At 37.4% G+C, this 18,612-nt stretch overlaps 1 protein-coding gene across 5 annotated transcripts in view; it reads left to right on the top strand.

The window, feature by feature from the left end:
- RNGTT (RNA guanylyltransferase and 5'-phosphatase) overlaps window positions 1–18,612 on the top strand; it is a 353,722-nt gene that overhangs the window by 26,987 nt on the left and 308,123 nt on the right. For all 5 annotated transcript variants that reach the window (NM_001286428.2, NM_001286426.2, NM_003800.5 and 2 more), the window contains 2 exons: window positions 7,365–7,468; window positions 7,559–7,647. In NM_001286428.2, coding sequence (NP_001273357.1) covers window positions 7,371–7,468; window positions 7,559–7,647 — 187 coding nt within the window. In that variant the 5' untranslated portion in view covers window positions 7,365–7,370. The remainder of the gene's footprint in view (window positions 1–7,364; window positions 7,469–7,558; window positions 7,648–18,612) is intronic.

Genomic DNA, 18,612 nt, shown 5'->3' with positions numbered 1-18,612 from the left:
TCATCTCAATAGAGTCAGACAAAGCATTTGATAAGAATCAACATCCCTTCATGATAAAAACTCTCAACAAACTAGGCATAGAGGAAACATAACTCAACATAATAAAGACCATATATGACAAGCCCACAGCTAACGTCATACTAATTGGGGAAAAGCTTTCAGCTTTTGCCCTGAGAATTAGAACAAGACAAGGATGTCCACTTATTCATCATGGTATTGGAAGTACTATCTAGAGCAGCCAGGCAAGAGAAAGAAATAAAAGGCACCCAAATTGGAAAAAAAGTCAAACTGTCCCTCATTGCTGATGATATAATCTTAAATCTAGAAAAACTTAATGATTCCACCAGAAAACTCTGAGATCTGATGAGAAATTCAGTAAAGGATACAGAATCAACATACAGGCTGGACAGTGGGTCACACCTTTGACCCCAAAGTGCTTTGGGAGGCTAAGGTGGGAGGTTTGCTTTAGGCTAAGAGTTCAAGAACAGACTGGACCCCAAAGTGAGACCCCCATCTCTACAAAATATTTTTTAAAAATGTAAAAGTTATCCAGGCACAATGGTGTGTTCTTCTAGTTCCACCTACACAGGAGGCTGAAGTGGGAGGATCACTTGAGCCCAGGTGTTCCAGGCAGTGGTGAGCCATGATTGAGCCACTGCACTTCAACCTGGGCAAAAGAATGAGACCCTGTCTTTGAAAGAAATACACAAAAAAAGAAATCAACATACAAAAATCAGTAGTGTTTCTGTATGCTGATACTGAACTAGCTGAGAAAGAAATCAAGAAGGCAATCCCATTTATAATAGCTACAAAAATAGTAAAATACTCAGGAATAAATTTAACCAAGGAAGTGAAAGATCTCTGCAAGGAAAACTAGAACAGTGATGAAGGAAATTGAATGGAACACAAACAAATAGAAAGACCTCCATGCCCATGGATTGGAATAATTAATATTGTTAAAATGACCATACTTTCCAAAGCAATCTGCATATTCAGTGCAATCCCTATAAAATACCAATGACATTTTTTATAGAAATAGAAAAAACTCCTAACTTTTTAATTTTATTAAAAAAAACTTTTTTTAAAGATGGGGTTTCACTGTGTTGCCTAGGCTGGTCTTGAACTCCTGAGCTCAAGCAGTTCTCCCACCTTGGCCTCCCAATGTGCTAGGATTACATGCATGAGACACTGCACCCCACCTGAATCCTAACATTTTTATGGAACCTGAAATGAGCCTGAATAACCAAAGCAATCTTGAGCAAAAGGAACAAAGCTGTGGGCATCACACTACTTTACAGTGTATTACAAGGCTATAGTAACCAAAACAGCATGGCATTGGTGTAAAAACAGACTAATGGAACAGAATAGAGAATCCAGAAATAAATGCATGCATTTACAGCCAACTGATTTAGACAAAGGCACCAAGAACATACATTGGGGACAGGACACTCTTTAATAAATGGTGCTGGGAAAATTGGATATCCATATACAGAAGAATAAAACTGGACCTTTATCTCTCACCATATACAAAATCAAATCAAGATGGATTAAAGACTTTAAATGTAAGACCTGAAAGCAGAAAACAGTAGTTTTGAGATGAAAACATAGGGAAAACACCGTGGGACATTGGTTCAGTAACAATTTTATGGCTAAGACCTCAAAAACACAACTCAAACAACAATAGACAAATGGGATGATATGAAACTGGAAAGCTTCTGGACTGGGTACAGTGGCTTACACCTGTAATCCCAGCACTTTGGGAGGCCAAGGTGGGAGGATTGCTTGAGGCCAGGAATTGGAGAACAGCCTGTGCAACAGAGTGAGACCTTATTTCTTGGTGGCACATACCTGTGGTCCCAGCTACTTGGGAGGCTGAGGCAGGATGACTGCTTGAGCCCAGTAGGTCAAGGCTGCAGTGATTCATATTCACACCACTGTACTCCAGCCTGGGCAACGAGTGAGACTCTGTTTCAAAAAATAAAATAAAAAAGCTTCTGCACAGCAAAGGAAACAACAGAGTGAAATAACAACCTACTGAATAGGAGAATATATTTGCAAACTATTCTTCTGAGGGATTAGTATCCAGAATATACAAAGAACTGGAAACAACAGGAAAAAAATCCCATTAAAAAGTGGGCAAAGATGTGAATAGACATTTCTCAAAAGAGGACATACAAATGGCCAACAGATATATGAAAAAATGCTGAAAAAAAGCTCAACATTACTAATCATCAGGAAGATGCAAATCCAAACCACAATGAAATATCATCTTGCACCAGTTAGAATGGCTATTTATGACTAGGTACAGTGGCTCATGTCTGTAATCCTAGCACTTTGGGAAGCTGAGATGGATGGGAGGATTACTTGAGGCCAGGAGTTTGAGACCAGCCTTGATAACATAACGAGACACCATCTTTAAAAAAATTCAAAAAATTAGCCAGGCATGAGGTATGTGCCTGCCATCTTACCTACTCAGGAGACTGAGGTGGAGGGATCCCTTAACCCCAGAAGATTGAAGTTACAGTGGTGAGCTATGATTGTGCTACTGCACTCCAGCCTGGGTGGCAGAGCAAAACCCTGTCTCTCTCTCAAAAAAACAAAACAAAACTATTATAAAGACAAAAACCAACAGATGCTGGCAAGGATGTGGAGAAAAGAGAACTCATATGCTGTTGGTTGGAACGTAAATTAGTACAGCCACCATGGAAAACAGTATGGAAATTTCTCAGAAAACTAAAAGTAGAACTGCTATACGATCTAGCAGTTTCACTACTGAGTATTTATCCAAAGGAACAGAAATAATTTTATCAAAGGGTGGATGAATGGATAAAGAAAATGTGGCATATATACACAATGGAATACTATGCAGCCATGAAGAAAAAATGAAATCATCATTTTGCAGCACATGGGTGGAACTTGAGTTTATTATGTTAACCAAAATAAGCCAGACACAGAAAGACAAATTCCACAGTTTCACTCCTGTGGGAGCCAAAAAAGTTGATTTCATATCTGTAGTCCTAGAACTTAGGAGGCTGAGATGAAAGGATCACTTAAACCCAAGAGTTTGAGGTTACAGTGAGCTATGATTGTGCTACTACATTCCAGCCGGGGCAACAGAGTGAGACTCTATCTCTTAAAAAAAAAAAACTGATCTCATGGACATAGAGAGTAGAATGATAGACGATAGATACCAGAGGGTGGGAAGGGTGTGTGGGCAGGAGGAGCATGGTGAAGGGAGGTTGGTTAGTGCAAACATATAGTTAGATATAATGTATAAATTCTTATTTTTGGTAGCAGGGTAAGGTGACTGTTGTTAGCAATGATGTATTGTGTATTTCCAAGTAGCTAGAAGAGAGAACTTGAAATACTCTTAACACATAGAAATGATAAATATTCAAGGTGATGGATACTCCAGATACCCTGATTTCATCATTACACATTACATGCATGTAATAAAATATCACATATACCCCATAATACATAAAATATAGCATATCAATTAAAGAAAGTGCAGATTGTTTCTCTTGCCTTTTTTTTTCCTGTGGGGACCCAAGGGGGAAAGAGGGAGGGAGTAGAAACTCAAGGATTAAAGTGGAGAAAGGGTGGCTTTTGGAGGAAAGTTGGGGTGCTGATAGGAGAGAAAATAAAGATGAATACCAGGCAGGAAAATTTGGGGATTGAAACAACCATCAACCTATGTGGTATAAATTGTCTTCTTTTTTATATTAGAGTATATGCTTCAGAATGAGGTGGAAGATGTATGAATTTACTATTACTTTTTTTTAGCCTCAGTTTAGGTGTGCGTTTCTAAGTGAGACTATCTTGCTGGCTGATTGTGATTCTAGGTTTTAAAGATTTTTCATACTGAAGGGCCCTGAATGCAAATCAACTTCTTCAGCTCAACAGAAGTAATAATGGTTTTTGTTCCAATCCAGAAAGAAAAATTGGCTATAATCTGTTGGGGGAACCAGCCCCCAATATTTCAACGTAGGTTCTTTTCTATTTTCCCTAAATGTCGGCCGGTCTGAGAAATAAAGGGAAAGAGTACAAAAGAGAGAAATTTTAAAGCTGGGTGTCCAGGGGAGACACATGTCAGCAGGTTCCGTGATGCCCCCTGAGCCGCAAAACCAGCAAGTTTTTATTAGCGATTTTCAAAGGGGAGGGAGTGTACGAATAGGGTGTGGGTCACAGGGATCACATGCTTCATAGGGCAATAAAAGATCACAAGGCAGAAGGTCAGGGTGAGATCACAAGGTCAGGGCGAAACTAGAATTACTAAGGAAGTTCCCTGTCCCACTGTGCACACGTTGTCACCGATAAACATCTTAACAGGGTTCAAGAGCAGAGAACCGGTCTGACTAGAATTTGCCAGGCTGGAATTTCCTAATCCTAGCAAGCCTGGGGGTGTGCAGGAGACTAGGGTGTGTTTCATCCCTTATCTGCAACTGCAGACCCTCCTAGAGCGGCCATTTTAGAGGCCTACTCCTGGGAATACATTCTTTTCCCAGGGCTGTTAATTATTAATATTCCTTACTGGGGAGAGAATTCAGTGATATTTCTCTTACCTGTTTTTGGCAATAAGGGAAATATGGCTCTGTCCTGCCTGGCTCCCAGGCAGTTAGACCCAATGGTCATCTCCCTTGTTCCCTGAACATTGCTGTTATCCTGTTCTTTTTTTCAAGGTGCCCAGATCTCACGCTGTTCAAACACACATGCTTCATGAAAAATCTGTGCAGTTAACACAATCATCACAGGGTCCTGAGGCCACATACATCCTCAGCTTACGAAGATGATGGGATTAAGAGATTAAAGTAAAGACAGGCATAGGAATTTTACAATTTATATTCTTCTGCCATGGCTTCAGCCGGTCCCTCTGTTAGGGGTCCCTGACTTCCCGCAACAATGGTTGACTTATTGAGATGGGATTAAGCCTCCAGTAATATGCATATGGCCATGTATACTGTTCTTCATTGGTTACTTAAGGAATTTATGAGAGAATTTTGACTGTACATACTTTTTTACCCTATGTGTTAGAATTTAACTGCCCAAGGTGTGATTCTTAGGCATCACATGGTACCTAAAAATCATAGTGATTTTTGTCATTTTAGAAATAGACAATACGTTCACTTACTTCAAAAATCCACAAAAAAAGGTTGGTATCATGAAGTCTCCCTCTCACTTTTGCTCTCTATCTGCCTAGTCCCTCACCACATACCACACAGGTTCCACTGTTTTTAGATTTTTTAATACATCCTTTCAGAATTTCTTTATGTGTATGTAAGCAACTAAAAATACAGATTGCTGTGTTCTCCCCTGCACACTCAAGGTAGCACATTATATATGCTGGTCTGAAACTTGCATTTCCAGCTTAATAGTATACTCTGAAGATCTTCATATATTAGCACATAGAACTTCTTGTTCTTTTTTTTTTTTTTTTTTTTTTTACAGCTTTATAGTATTCCATTAAAGTATGTACAGGTTGAGCATCCCTCATCCAAAAATATAAAATCTGAATCTTTTTTAGCACCTACATGATGCCCAAAGGAAATGCTTATTGGAACATTACAGGTTTTGGATTTTCATATTAGGATTGCTCAACCTGTAAGTATAATGCAAATATTGAAAAATCTGAAATCTTGAACACTTCAAGTCCCAAGCATTTCAGTTTAGGGAATCTTCTTACTACTTTACTTGGATGGTTTCTTTATGGAACTGGAAAATGTGTGCTGACATTTTCTGAAATTTACCAGCATGGGGTCATTTTTACTGCTTTTGTGTGTCTTCATTGCATTTTCCCCCTTGTATTGCTTCTGCTTCCCTGTAATCTGCCCCATCTTCTCCAGACTCCTTAGCTCTTGGGTAGATGAGAGATAGGTCTGCCACTTTATGGTGAGCTCTTTCTTACCGGAAATGTATTTTTATTGGCATTTTCCTAAAATCTGCTGCTCCTGGGTCTGCTTCTCTTTTCTTCCTTTCCATATAGCTTCTGTAGTGTTCTTAATTTTTTGGCAGAACTTAGACATTTTTTATGAATGTGTGGATTTTATATGCGTTCGTTTTACAGAAAATGAAACTTTTTTTTAAACAATTTACCTTGTTTTTATATGATACTGAAAGAATAGGAGAGGAAAATTTATTTAATTTTTTAATCTTTTTCCCCCCAAACACATGGTTTTTCAAGCGATCCTCTTGCCGTGGCCTCCCAAAGTGCCAAGATTACAGGCGTGAGCCACTGTGTCTGGCCAAATTTCCCGTACTACCATCTTCTTAATAAGATTGTCTCTATTTTTAACCTTGTTTCTTTTCAAAAAATGTAACTTGAGGCTTCAGTATATTTTCAGAAAATAGAAGAGTTGTTAATAACAAAGAAAGGGACATATATATAAAATATATATAATAAGATACATGTTTTATATGTATATATGTATATATGTTTATGTATATATGTATATACATATATGTATATGTATATATGTATGTACGTATATGTATATGTATGTATACGTGTATATATGTATACACGTATATGTATATACGTATATGTATATATGTATATGTATACATATGCATATACATGTATATGTATATATGCATATATATGCATATATGTGTATACATATGCATATGTATATATGTATACATGTATATGCACATATGCATGTATACATATGTATATACGTGTGTATATGCATATGTATACATATGTATATACGTGTATATATGCATATGTATACATATGTATATATGTGTGTATGTATATATGCATATGTATACATATGTATATGTGTGTATATGTATATGTGTGTATATGTATGTATATATATATACACATCATATATATGATATAAATGGATTGTCTCATCTTTTAAGCCTGGGATATAAAATGGTGTAGTCAATAGATATTAACAGAATTATTGGTGGTGGCTGCTTGGAAGGCTGGGGTGGGTGATTTGTGCCGAGAGCTTGAGTTGTGGTATACTTCAGATAGATGCCATTCCTGCTCTAGCCTCTTGTCTAATAAATCACAGGTGCAGAGGTATATGCAGCAAACACTAGAGAAAACTCTAGCATTTTCTCTTTTGCATAGACTTTTGTGATGTTGGCAGTAGAATTTGTTTTGCTTATATTCCTGTTCTTTCCTTAGTTTGGGAGTTAATTTATTTTATCAAGTGCCTGCTTAGTTTTAGTGTCTTGAATAAGACTTTGATAAGTGATACTTTTATTATCAATTGTTCAGGGGCAAAGTACATACAGAATCTCCCTCAATGTAAATGAATGAACTGTAGTATTGCCATTTAGTCTACTTATTTGGGAACAAATTAAGTTACTAGTAAATTTGCCCTTTCATTTTTTTTTTTTTTTAGGTTAAAATGGGCTTGTTGGTGGACCTGACAAATACTTCAAGGTTCTATGACCGAAATGACATAGAAAAAGAAGGAATCAAATATATAAAACTTCAGTGTAAAGGGTAAGTTATATATTAAGATTCTTTAATATTGAAACCTTTCATCACAATTTGTAATCTCTTTTTTCAAAAAAACTTTTTCTATATTACTAGACATGGTGAGTGCCCTACCACTGAGAATACTGAGACCTTTATTCGTCTGTGTGAGCGGTTTAATGAAAGAAATCCACCTGAACTTATAGGTATGTTTGGCTTTACTTTGCCACTGTTGAATATTTTATTTTGCAGTTAGGTTTCTGTTTTCTTGTTTGCAAATAAGTTGATATGAAAGTTTTTTCTGTTTTAAATAATGACCAAGTAGTGTTTATTAAAATGAGAGATTGACTTGTGAATTATGTAATAAATGTATTTTCATAATTTTTACATTTTTCTAGATAAAGCCCTGATTTCCTCTCTTCAGGTGTCCTGTTGGGAAAGTCTATCCTAAACACTACATATTTATTTTTTATACTTCTACATTTTATAATTTTACATTTTATACTATATTATTCTGAAACTTCATTCTTTTTTATTCAGGATTTCTGAGAGCAATGTATGGTGATGTAATTGTAGTTCATTTTTGCTTCTATATAGTATTCCATTATACAAATACACCACAGTTTATACTCTTGTTGATGCACAATTCCTTCATCAGATTTTTATTGATTGCTACTCTATCTATACCAGGCACCAGCTCGTGGAACACATCAGTGAACAAAATAGAAAAAAACATCCTGCTCTTACAGAGCTCATATTCTAGTGTGGGCTGGAGGCTGAGGGAAGGAGGGCAGGCAATAACAAATTTAATAAGTAAATTTTCATAAAATGGCAGTTACTGAAAATGACTTTTGAGTTATTTTCAGGTTTGTTGTTGTTGTTGTTTTGCTTTTATAAACAATGCTGCTAGGAGTGGTCTTCTAGAATTTTTAAGGTTTGGTTTTAAATTTAATTTTTTTTTAATGAAAAATTATTTTTTGAGACAAAGTCTTGCTGTATCGCCCGGGCCGGAGTGCAGTGCTGCGATCTTGGCTCACTGCAGCCTTGAACTCCTGGGCTCAAGTGATCCTCTCTTCTCAGCTTCCTGAGTAGCTGGGATTACAGGCACACACCACTACCCCCAGCTATTTATTTTTATTTTTATTTTTTGTAGAGACAGGGTCTCACTATGTTGCCCAGGCTTGGTTTGAACTGCTGGTGTCAAGTGATCCTCTTGCCACGGCCTCTCAAAATGCTGAGATTACAGGCATGAGCCACTGTGCCTGGCCAACTTTGCTTTTCTGTTATTTCTGTTGGTATATGGTTTAAATTGAGGATGCAATGTAAAGTTTCCTTTTCTTTCTTTTTTTTTTTTTTTGAGATGGAATCCCACTCTGTTGCCCAGGCTGGAGTGCAGTGGAGTGATCTCGGCTCACTGCAACCTCTGCCTCCCAGGTTCAAGCGATTCTCCCACCTCAGCCCCCTGAGTAGCTGGGATTACAGGCATGCACTACCACACCCTGCTAATTTTTGTATTTTTTTTTTTTTTGAGATGGAGTTTTGCTCTTGTTCCCCTGGCTGGAGTGCAATGGCACACTGTCAGCTCACTGCAACCTCTGCCTCCTGGGTTCAAGCAATTCTCCTGCCTCAGCCTCCTGAGTAGCTGGGATTACAGGCATGTGCCACCATGCCCGGCTAATTATGTATTTTTAGTAGAGACAGGGTTTCTCCATGTTGGTCAGGATGGTCTTGAACTCCCAACCTCAGGTGATCTGCCCGCCTCAGCCTCCCAAAGTGCTGGGATTACAGGTGTGAGCCACCGTGCCGGGCTTAATTTTTGTATTTTTAGTAGAGATGGGGTTTCACCATATTGACTGGGCTGGTCTTGGACTCCTGGCCTCGGGTGATCTGCCTGCCTACCTCGGCCTCCCAAAGTGCTGGGATTACAGGCGTGAACCACCATGCCTGCCCAATTAAATGTTTTCTACATAACCAACCATTTGTTTCAGCACAGTTTATTGAGTAGTTCTTTCTCTTCTTAGGGCTAGATGATGTAAATTCATATATCTACTGTTTGAAAATATTTCCTATTCATCTCATTTTAATTTTTTGGTAATATTTTAAAACTTTTTTTCATCAAATTTTTTTGTGTCTTGTTTGATTTTAAGTAGCTAATGTTTTTCCTTATTTAGATAATTAACGGAAAAACTAGTAGTAAGAAAATTTGGGGATATATTGAGAACGTAAGATAAAAAAGAAAACATCAGCAACTTTCCTGGAAACAAGCAATAATTAGTTAGAAAATATAATCAGAAAATAGTCCCATTAATCTTAACAATATTGGCTATCACATATTGAACATTTCCTCCCTGCTAGTCTTTGTGTAAACCATGTCACACACATTGTCTCATTTTCTTTTCATAGCAATTATATTAGGTAGATAGTATTGTTATGCCCTTAAACTGAGACTTGGAAAAGTTAAGACTGCTGAAGGGTCACTCACACAGCCAGTAAGGGCTAGAGTGTGGATTATATCCTAAGCAATCTGAGTTGCATGTTCACACTTGAAACTACCTCTCTCTTCTATAACAGAAGTACAAAACACCAAGGAATTTTTACTAATAAATGTAGATGGTCTTTATGAAGAAAATATATTTAAATATTAAAATAAACATGAAGAAATGGAGAGACGTTACTTGTTTCCACATTAATTTCAAAGTTTTAATGTTGTTCTAACCAAAATCCCAATGAAAGTTAGGCAGAATTACTTTGAAATTAATTTGTAAAATCCCCACCTCTATTAAGTCACTGAATATTACCGAGCACAGAAAAAAATAGTTTGGCAAATCAGACATGCAAGTTATGAGCAAGAAAAATTTGAAAAACAAGAGTAATGAGGAGATTTTTCTTTCCAGTCATTAAATCATATGGTAAAGCAATGGAACTGATAGCACTAGTTCCTGGTGGTAAAGGAGATGTTTTTAAATTAGAGAGGAAAGGTGTGATTTTTCACCAAATGGTGTTCCATTAGTCAACCACATAATAAGTGAATTTTAGGTGTATTAAATATTTTTAAAAGGACCAAAAAGAATATAGGAGAAAATAGTAAATATTTATTTAATTCTGGAGTAAACAAAGAAGGATATTCCATGTATATCACCAAAGACAGAATCCATAAATGAGTATTTTTCTTTTAGGAGTGCTCCTGGACTGCCTGTATCAGAACCACTTGAAGATACTTGTTAGAAATGTATGTTTTAGGGCCTATCCTGGACCTACGTAATCAAAATGTCTAAGGATGAATGTTAGGAATCCAGATTTTTTTTTAAGAGACAGGGTCTTGCTATGTTGCCCACTTGGAGTGCAGTGTCTATTTATAGGCATGATTATAGCACACTACAGCCTCGAACTCCTGTCCTCAATTGATCCTCCTGCCTTGGCCTCCTGAGTTGCTGGGACTACGTGCACCACTGCACTTTTGCCAGGAATCTAGATTTTCAAAAGAAAAGTATTAGGTGGCTTTTATGCAGACTTAAATTTGAGAACTGCTGTCAGAATTTAAAGTATGGTGGCTATTAATGATGATAGTAACAGCTAGTTGTTTTTTTTTTTTTTTTATGAGGTAAGGTCTTGCCGTATTGCCCAGGCTAGAGTGCAGTGGTGTGACTTCGGCTCACTGCAACCTCTGTCTGCAGGGCTCAAGTGATCCTCCCACCTCAGCCTCCCGAGTAGCTGGGACCATAGGCGTGCGCACCACCACACCCTGCTAATTTTTGTATTTTTTGTAGAGACACTGTTTCACCATGTTGCCTAGGCTGGTCTTGAACTCCTGGGTTCAAGTGATCTACCCACCTTGGCCTCCCAAAGTGCTGGGATTACAGGCGTGAACCCTTATTTATTAATAAGCTAGTATTAATAAATGCTTATTATTTGTTCAGTGGACTTGGGGAACTATAGATAAGGAAAGTGAGTCTCAGAGAAGTTAAGTACTTCGCCCATGGTCATGCATCTAATAAGTAGTTGAGCCAGGTTTTTTCTTTTTTTTTCTTGTCACTGCTATACTAACAAGGATAAGCCAGGTTTTTAATCCAGTTTCTGGCTTTAAAGTTGAAATCTGTAATTAGTTGCTGTAATTAGTTTCTAGTTGGCCACATAAAAGAGAAAAATTTTTGTCTTAAAAAAAAACACAACAGGTGGGTATAGTGGCTCACCATTGTTATCTCAGCACTTTGGGAGGCTAAGATGGGAGGATCACTTGAAGCCAGGGGTTTGAGACCATCCTGAGTAACAAAGTGAGACCCTGTCTCTGTAAATAAAAAAATTAGCCAAGTGCAGCAGTGTACTCCTGTAGTCCCAGCTACTTAAGAGGCTGAAGTGGGAGGACTGCTTGAGCCCAGGAGTTTGAGGCTATAGTGAGGTATGATCACACCTGCACTCCAGCTTGGGCAATAGAGTGAGAATCTGTCTCTAAAAAAAAAAAAAAATTGGAGAGGAGAATGTTTGAGGGCAAAGAAAAAAATAAAACATAAAACAACAACAACAAAAGACACAACAGAAGGGAGGCAAAAAGATGTTGGACAAATTGGGGTCTGGCTTGGTGGCACATGCCTGTAATCCCAGCTACTTGAGAGGCTGAGGCAGAAGGATTGCTTGAGCCCAGGAGTTTGACACTGGTCTGGGCAACATAGCAAGAATTCTGTCTCAAAAAAAGATTTTGACAAATTTGGAAAAATATCTGAAGCATATGTGACATAAAAAGTTAATAATCTTATTTATGAAGATATCTTATACACCAGTAAGTGAAAGAGGCATTCCTTAATAGAAAATTATGGAAAACAATGAAAGAGCAATTTACAGAATATGAAATACAAGAAGCCAAGAAACATGAAAAAAATTTTTCTCACTTGCTAATGAGATACAAATTAAAGTACATGCTGGTAGCTGCACTCCACATCAAATTGGCAAAGATTAAAAAAATTATATTTCTGAGAGCTCCTAGGGGACTTTGCCCTGCATTACCTGGGAGGGGTGTCAGTTCAGTTCTGGGTTGAACAAGGCCCTTGCACATGGCATGTTGGGGGACCAGCCTAAAGTTCTTGTCACCTCCTCATGCGAAGCCAGCCAGCACTATCCTGGATGGAGCCCCCCAGCATTGAGGTGGCCCTTGGCCACCCCTCCTCAGGGCCTCCAGGATAACTTGAGTACCCCTCCCGGTGGCTTCCCCTTCCTCTCCCTGGGGCTGCCAGGGGCACGTTGCTCTGTGCCATGGACTGAAACCAGCTCCTGGTGACAGAATGACCTGTTTGTTGGAAATGCCTTGTTGCCAGAGAAAGGAATCTTGGAACAAAACTATTTTAATTGTGAACTGGCCATAGAACACCTGTTTTTTTTTAAATCAACTTATTAAGTTGGAGCACTATAATAGCTCTTGCTGATTTAGCTACGATATGTTTGTTGAACACATAATGCTATGTTTTATGAGGAAAAGGGATCGTAAGGAAGAGTAATGTTGCACCTAACATTAGGTGGGTAAAAGTGGCCTTGTGTTTGTGTCTGTTTCTACACAGAGCCTTTGGGTTTTGTTCTCTTCATCAGGTAAATGTTTGTTGCATACCCTGCTGCACAGAGAACCTCCCTGCGTCTGTTTCTCTGCTCCTCTGTGGCTGACTCAATAAACTTTTCCTTCTTGGAAAAAAAAATTATAATGTCTGTTAGTGTCAAGGATTGGATAAAATGGGTGCATTCATACACTTTTGAGTGTTAATTGGTATAGTCTCTACAGAGGGCTATGTGGAGAGAGAACATGGTGGTATTTCTCAAGATCCTTAAAAGTGTTTCTCTTGACTCATCAAGACTACGAACTTATTTTAAGGAAGTAGTCAGAGATGGACATAAAGAGTTATGTGAAAGGAATTTCACCACAGCTTCCCTTGGTAACAAAAAAACAACCTGGAAACAACAATCATCAATGGTCAGTAAAATCATTAAGTAAAATACAAAATGGAAAACTTTATAACAGAAGAAATGAGCAGCCACCACTTGAACCCACTTATGTTAGTACCACTAAAAGTGGGACAGCCAAACATTATGTGCTTGCTGATGTGGTATGAAAGAAAATACACAGTACCATCTATAAAATATTCTTACCTAAAGTCTTAAAAGTGAATCTAATTATGTCTCTGGATTTAACTATCAATTTACAAGACATATGGGAGATAAGAGAACAAGCTAATTGAAACCATGAGGATGCAATCAGATAAATCCAGAATGTGGAACATTTCATAGAACAGTGGCTAGGCTTTTCCATCATATTGATTGCATTTAAAAGAGCGAATCAGGGACACTTGAGATACCTAACAAAAAATGCAGTTTGTAGGTATTGTTGGATCCTGGTTTGAAACATTAACTTTATCCCAGTACTTTGGGAGGCCGAGGCGGGTGGATCACAAGGTCAGGAGATCAAGACCATCCTGACTAACATGGTGAAACCCTGTTTCTAATAAAAAAATACAAAAAATTAGCTGGGCGTGGTGGCGGACGCCTGTAGTCCCAGCTACTTGGGAGGCTGAGGCAGGAGAATAGCATGAACCCGGGAGGTGGAGCTTGCAGTGAGCCGAGATTGCGCCACTGCACTCCAGCCTGGGTGACAGAGCGAGACTCCATCTCAAAAAAAAAAATTTTTTTTTAAGGTAATTGAGGAAATCTAAAAACAAACTAGGTTCTAGATGACGTTAAGGAATTTATAACTCTTCTTTTGGTATAATTATTGCATGGTAATCATATGAAACCCAGAGTCCTTATTAGAGATGTGTATTGAAACATTTTTAGTGACATGACATGTCTGTGACTTGCTCTAAAATGTAGTTTAAGGTCATTAAAATGCTAATTACTCTGATTTGATCTTTATACATTGTAGACATGTATTGAAATATCACACTCTACCCCATAAATATGTATTTATATATTTATAATACAGTTATTATGTATAAATTAAAAATAATAGTAAGAGCTGGGCCCAGTGGCACATGCCTGTAGTCCCAGCTACTTGGGAGCTAAGGTGGAAAGACTGCTTGAGCCTGGGAGTTGAAGTCCAGCCTGGACAACATAGCCAGACCTGGTCTCTAAAAAATTATTTAATATAATAATAATAAAGGCAAAAAAAAAATTAATGTGGTTGTTCCTCAGACTCCTCAGGGGATTGGTTCTAGGATCCCCCTCAGATACCAAAATCCTCTGATGCTCAGTGCTCAAGTGCCTTGTATAAAATGGCATAGTATTTGCATATGACCTATGAACATCCTGCCGTTTTCTTTGAATCACCTCTAGGTATTACTTATAATACCTAATACAATGTAAGTTCTATGTGAACAGTTACTATATTGTATTTTTAAATTTGTATTATTTTTTACTGTATTTTTTATTGAGTTTTTTCCCAAATATTTTTAATACAGATATAGGAAGGCCAATTTACTCCAAAAATATTATTAAGGGTGGAGGATGAAAAAAAATCAGCAAAATGATAATTACCAAAGAGGGATGATGGATACATGAGGTTTCATTTTTCTATTCTCACTGCTTTGGGTATGTCTGCAAATTTCCATAATAAAAAAAAAATTTGAGAGTACTGCCCCAGAGAAGCTAACAGTATGGTAAAAATTGAAAACATCTGGTTCTAAGGGTTTCAGATAAGGGACTATGAAGCTGTAGTTACTGCTAAGGATTAGAAAAGGTTTCAAGCTTCTGTGTGTTTCAAGAACTTTATATTTCCATGAAGCCTACAGCATTAGCCCACAGCCTCACCAATTATCAACTGATAACTGAATCAGTTGTCAACTGTAATTGATAAATTAACAATTATATCAGCTAATTCAAAGATTACTTTTTTTTTTTTTAAAGACCAGGTCTCACTATGTCACCCAGGCTGGGATTTTTTTTTAAAACCAAGACAGCTTTGAAAAGAAACCTGAGTCTAACCTTTGCCACATCACAAATGTTTACTACTGGTCACAAATATTGATCAGCAAGAGTTTGTGCAAGGCTGATAAAAATTCCTTCTCTGAAACTAAAAATAAATGAAAGTACTATAAAAGCAGGACAGTATTTTCAGATCCTAAGACTACTTAAGCTTGATTCTTTAGTGCTTTTTATTTAGAAAGGTGTTATCAGCAATCAGTTCTGAGACTAGTTTCTGTTATTGTCTCTACAGTAATACTATAAGAAATAACTGGCAATACATCCTGTGCTCCAAAATTTGGCAGGCCCAAAGCAAATGTTTCCAATTCAATCCACATGAACAGAATCACTGCCGGGAATATAAAACAAAATATATATATATCACTAGGTTCTATAAATTTTATAACCTGTAAACACTCAAAACAATTAGAAGTTTTTCTTATCAGTTCTTCTAAGAATACAACTGCACAATTTATAACAAGGATGAATTTGTTTTCCTAAACCTGGAGTATGAATCTTTCTAAAATCATGACATCTAATGCCAGAGGTTAAAATTGCTTGACTGCCCTCCTTTGAATTCATTAAGCATATTTAATGTTTACCCCTATAATGGCTTCTCTCAAATGAGAAAACACTTCTGTGAGTTGTTTTTACTTATTCAGATAAAGGCCTCAGTATTACCTTAAGCTGTGTAGGTTCTAGTCATATACCTCAATATATGTGTATGTATGTGTGACTGTTATATATATTCATATAAATGTATGAATATATATACACACATCCTTAACATATTTCATGTATATCTCATAATATTGTTCTGTTAAATAATAGCTGCATACTGTACCATATAAATAACCTGCTTTTTTCAAAACAACAAATACAGTATAGTAACTGTTCACATAGCACTTACATTGCATTAGGTATTATAAGTAATACCTAGAGGTGATTCAAAGAAAACGGCAGGATGTTCATAGGTCATATGCAAATACTATGCCATTTTATACAAGGCACTTGAGCACTGAGCATCGGAGGATTTTGGTATCTGAGGGGGATCCCAGAACCAATCCCCTGAGGAGTCTGAGGAACAACTGCATTAATTTTTTTTGCCTTTATTGTATTATATTAAATAATTTTTTAGAGACCAGGTCTGGCTATGTTGTTCAGGCTGGACTTCAACTTCATCCCACAAATTGTAACAATTAAAATTGTCTCTAGACATTACAAAATGTCCCCTGGGGGGCAAAATCTTCCCCAGTTGAGAACTACTGAATCCTCGGTGCAGTGGCTCACGCCTGTAATCCCAACACTTTGGGAGGCCGAGGCGGGTGGATCACCTGAGGTCAGAGTTTGAGACCAGCCTGACCACCATGGTGAAACCCTGTCTCTACTAAAAATACAAAATTAGCCAGGCGTGGTGGCGCATGCCTGTAATCCCAGGTACTCAGGAGGCTGAGGTAGAGGTTGTAGTGAGCCGAGATTGCTCCATTGCACTCCAGCCTGGGCAAAAAGAACAAAACTCCGTCTCAAAAAAAAAAAAAAAAAAAAAAAAAAGAACTACTGACCTAATTAGACTGATCAAATAATTAGGATTTTTAGCATTAAAAAATTTATCTAGCTAGTGAGATAGAAATAAAATTGTGGGCCAGGTGTGGTGGCTCATGCCTACAATCCCAGAAGACCAAGGCCAAGGATCTCTTGAGCCCAGGAGTTCAAGACCAGCCTTGGCAACATAGAGAGACCCTGTCTATACCCCCCACACCCTCCAAAATAGTGTATGTTGAGATCAGGCTTTATTTAAAAAGATACATTGTCACCAGCCCCTTTATAAACTGCCCCAACATGTATAGCTATAGCTAATCTCTCTGTCTATTTGTTGGGGAGTTTCTTTCCCTAGTTTGATTGTAAATGCCATATACATTTATTTCATTATATTAGCTTGCCTGGAAAAATTTGAATAGAAGTTGCCTTGAAATAGTTAATTGTGAGCTAATATTTAGTTAAAAACTGTGGCTTACTTACCACTAGATGGACCCATTCTCATGATGAAGAAAACTGAAAATTGCTTTAAACAAAAACTGAAGACGTATCTAAGCTTGTAGTATACCTAATTAATGGATTTTTTAATATCAAATACATAATCTCCCACATTTTTCTATAGTGGTTTGTTTTGATGGTTTTGTAACTTTATAACCCTATCTATAAATGTTTTGATGTATAACTGAACCATTAGACTAAGACTTTTTGTATTTGCATATAAAGAATATTAAAAGGAAAATGGTACTTTCCTAGATTACATATCTTCACATGACATATTAGCTAATTGGCAATTATTATTACATTTCCTATTCATAAAAATATTTAATCTTGCAAGAGTAAAAATTGGATACAAAAACAGTAGCTTAGGTGAGAAACATCGAAAGTTGAAATATTTGTTGCTTGAATTGGTCTGAAATAGAAGATAGTAAGGAAATTTACATGTTGGGTTAAGATACATGAATACAAAAATGTGTTTATAGTGCACATCTTTGTGTGGCTTTTTTGAAGCACTTTTTCTTACAAAGCAATGGAGATAATGGAATTTATAGATTTTCTTGGTCATAGCTATTTATTTCTAAGTGATGTCTTCAGTTCAAGGCTGATCTCTTTGTTTTTTATTTTCTTCTTTCAGAAACTTAATTTCACTTATATCGTTTCTATTATTGTCAAGCTTTGTGGTTTAACTAGGTTCTTGTCCTGAGCCTGTAAACATACCTAAACTTGTTAAATAATCCCCTCCCGCTGAAAAAAACCCCGTACCCTTCTTTCTGTTTTGCATTCCCTCTTCCCTTTCTCAGCTGACTTTTTAAAAGAATCTATACTTGAATCCATTTTTTCCTATCCACTTTGTTGCAGTCTGGAGTCCTCCCTCAGCACTGTTTTTTGTTTGTTTGCTTTTTAAGACTGTGTCTCACTCAGTCATCCAGGCTGGAGTGCAGTGGTGCAATCATAGCTCACTGCATCCTCGACCTCCTGGTCTCGAGCAATCTTCCCACCTCAACCTCCCGAGTAGCTGGTACTACAGGCACTTGCCACCATGCCTGGCTATTTTTTAAATTTTATTTTTTGTAGAGACAGGGTCATACTGTGTTGTCCAGGCTGGTCTTGAACTCCTGGCCTCAAGTGATATTCCCGCCTCGGCCTCCTAAAGTGCAGGGATTACAGGCATGAGCCACTGCACCTGGCTAGCACTCTTAATCAAA

Source organism: Homo sapiens, chromosome 6 (assembly GCF_000001405.40).
Source record: "Homo sapiens chromosome 6, GRCh38.p14 Primary Assembly".
Classification (NCBI taxonomy): Eukaryota; Metazoa; Chordata; class Mammalia; order Primates; family Hominidae; genus Homo; species Homo sapiens.
This window is presented reverse-complemented; position numbering and strand designations above follow the sequence as displayed.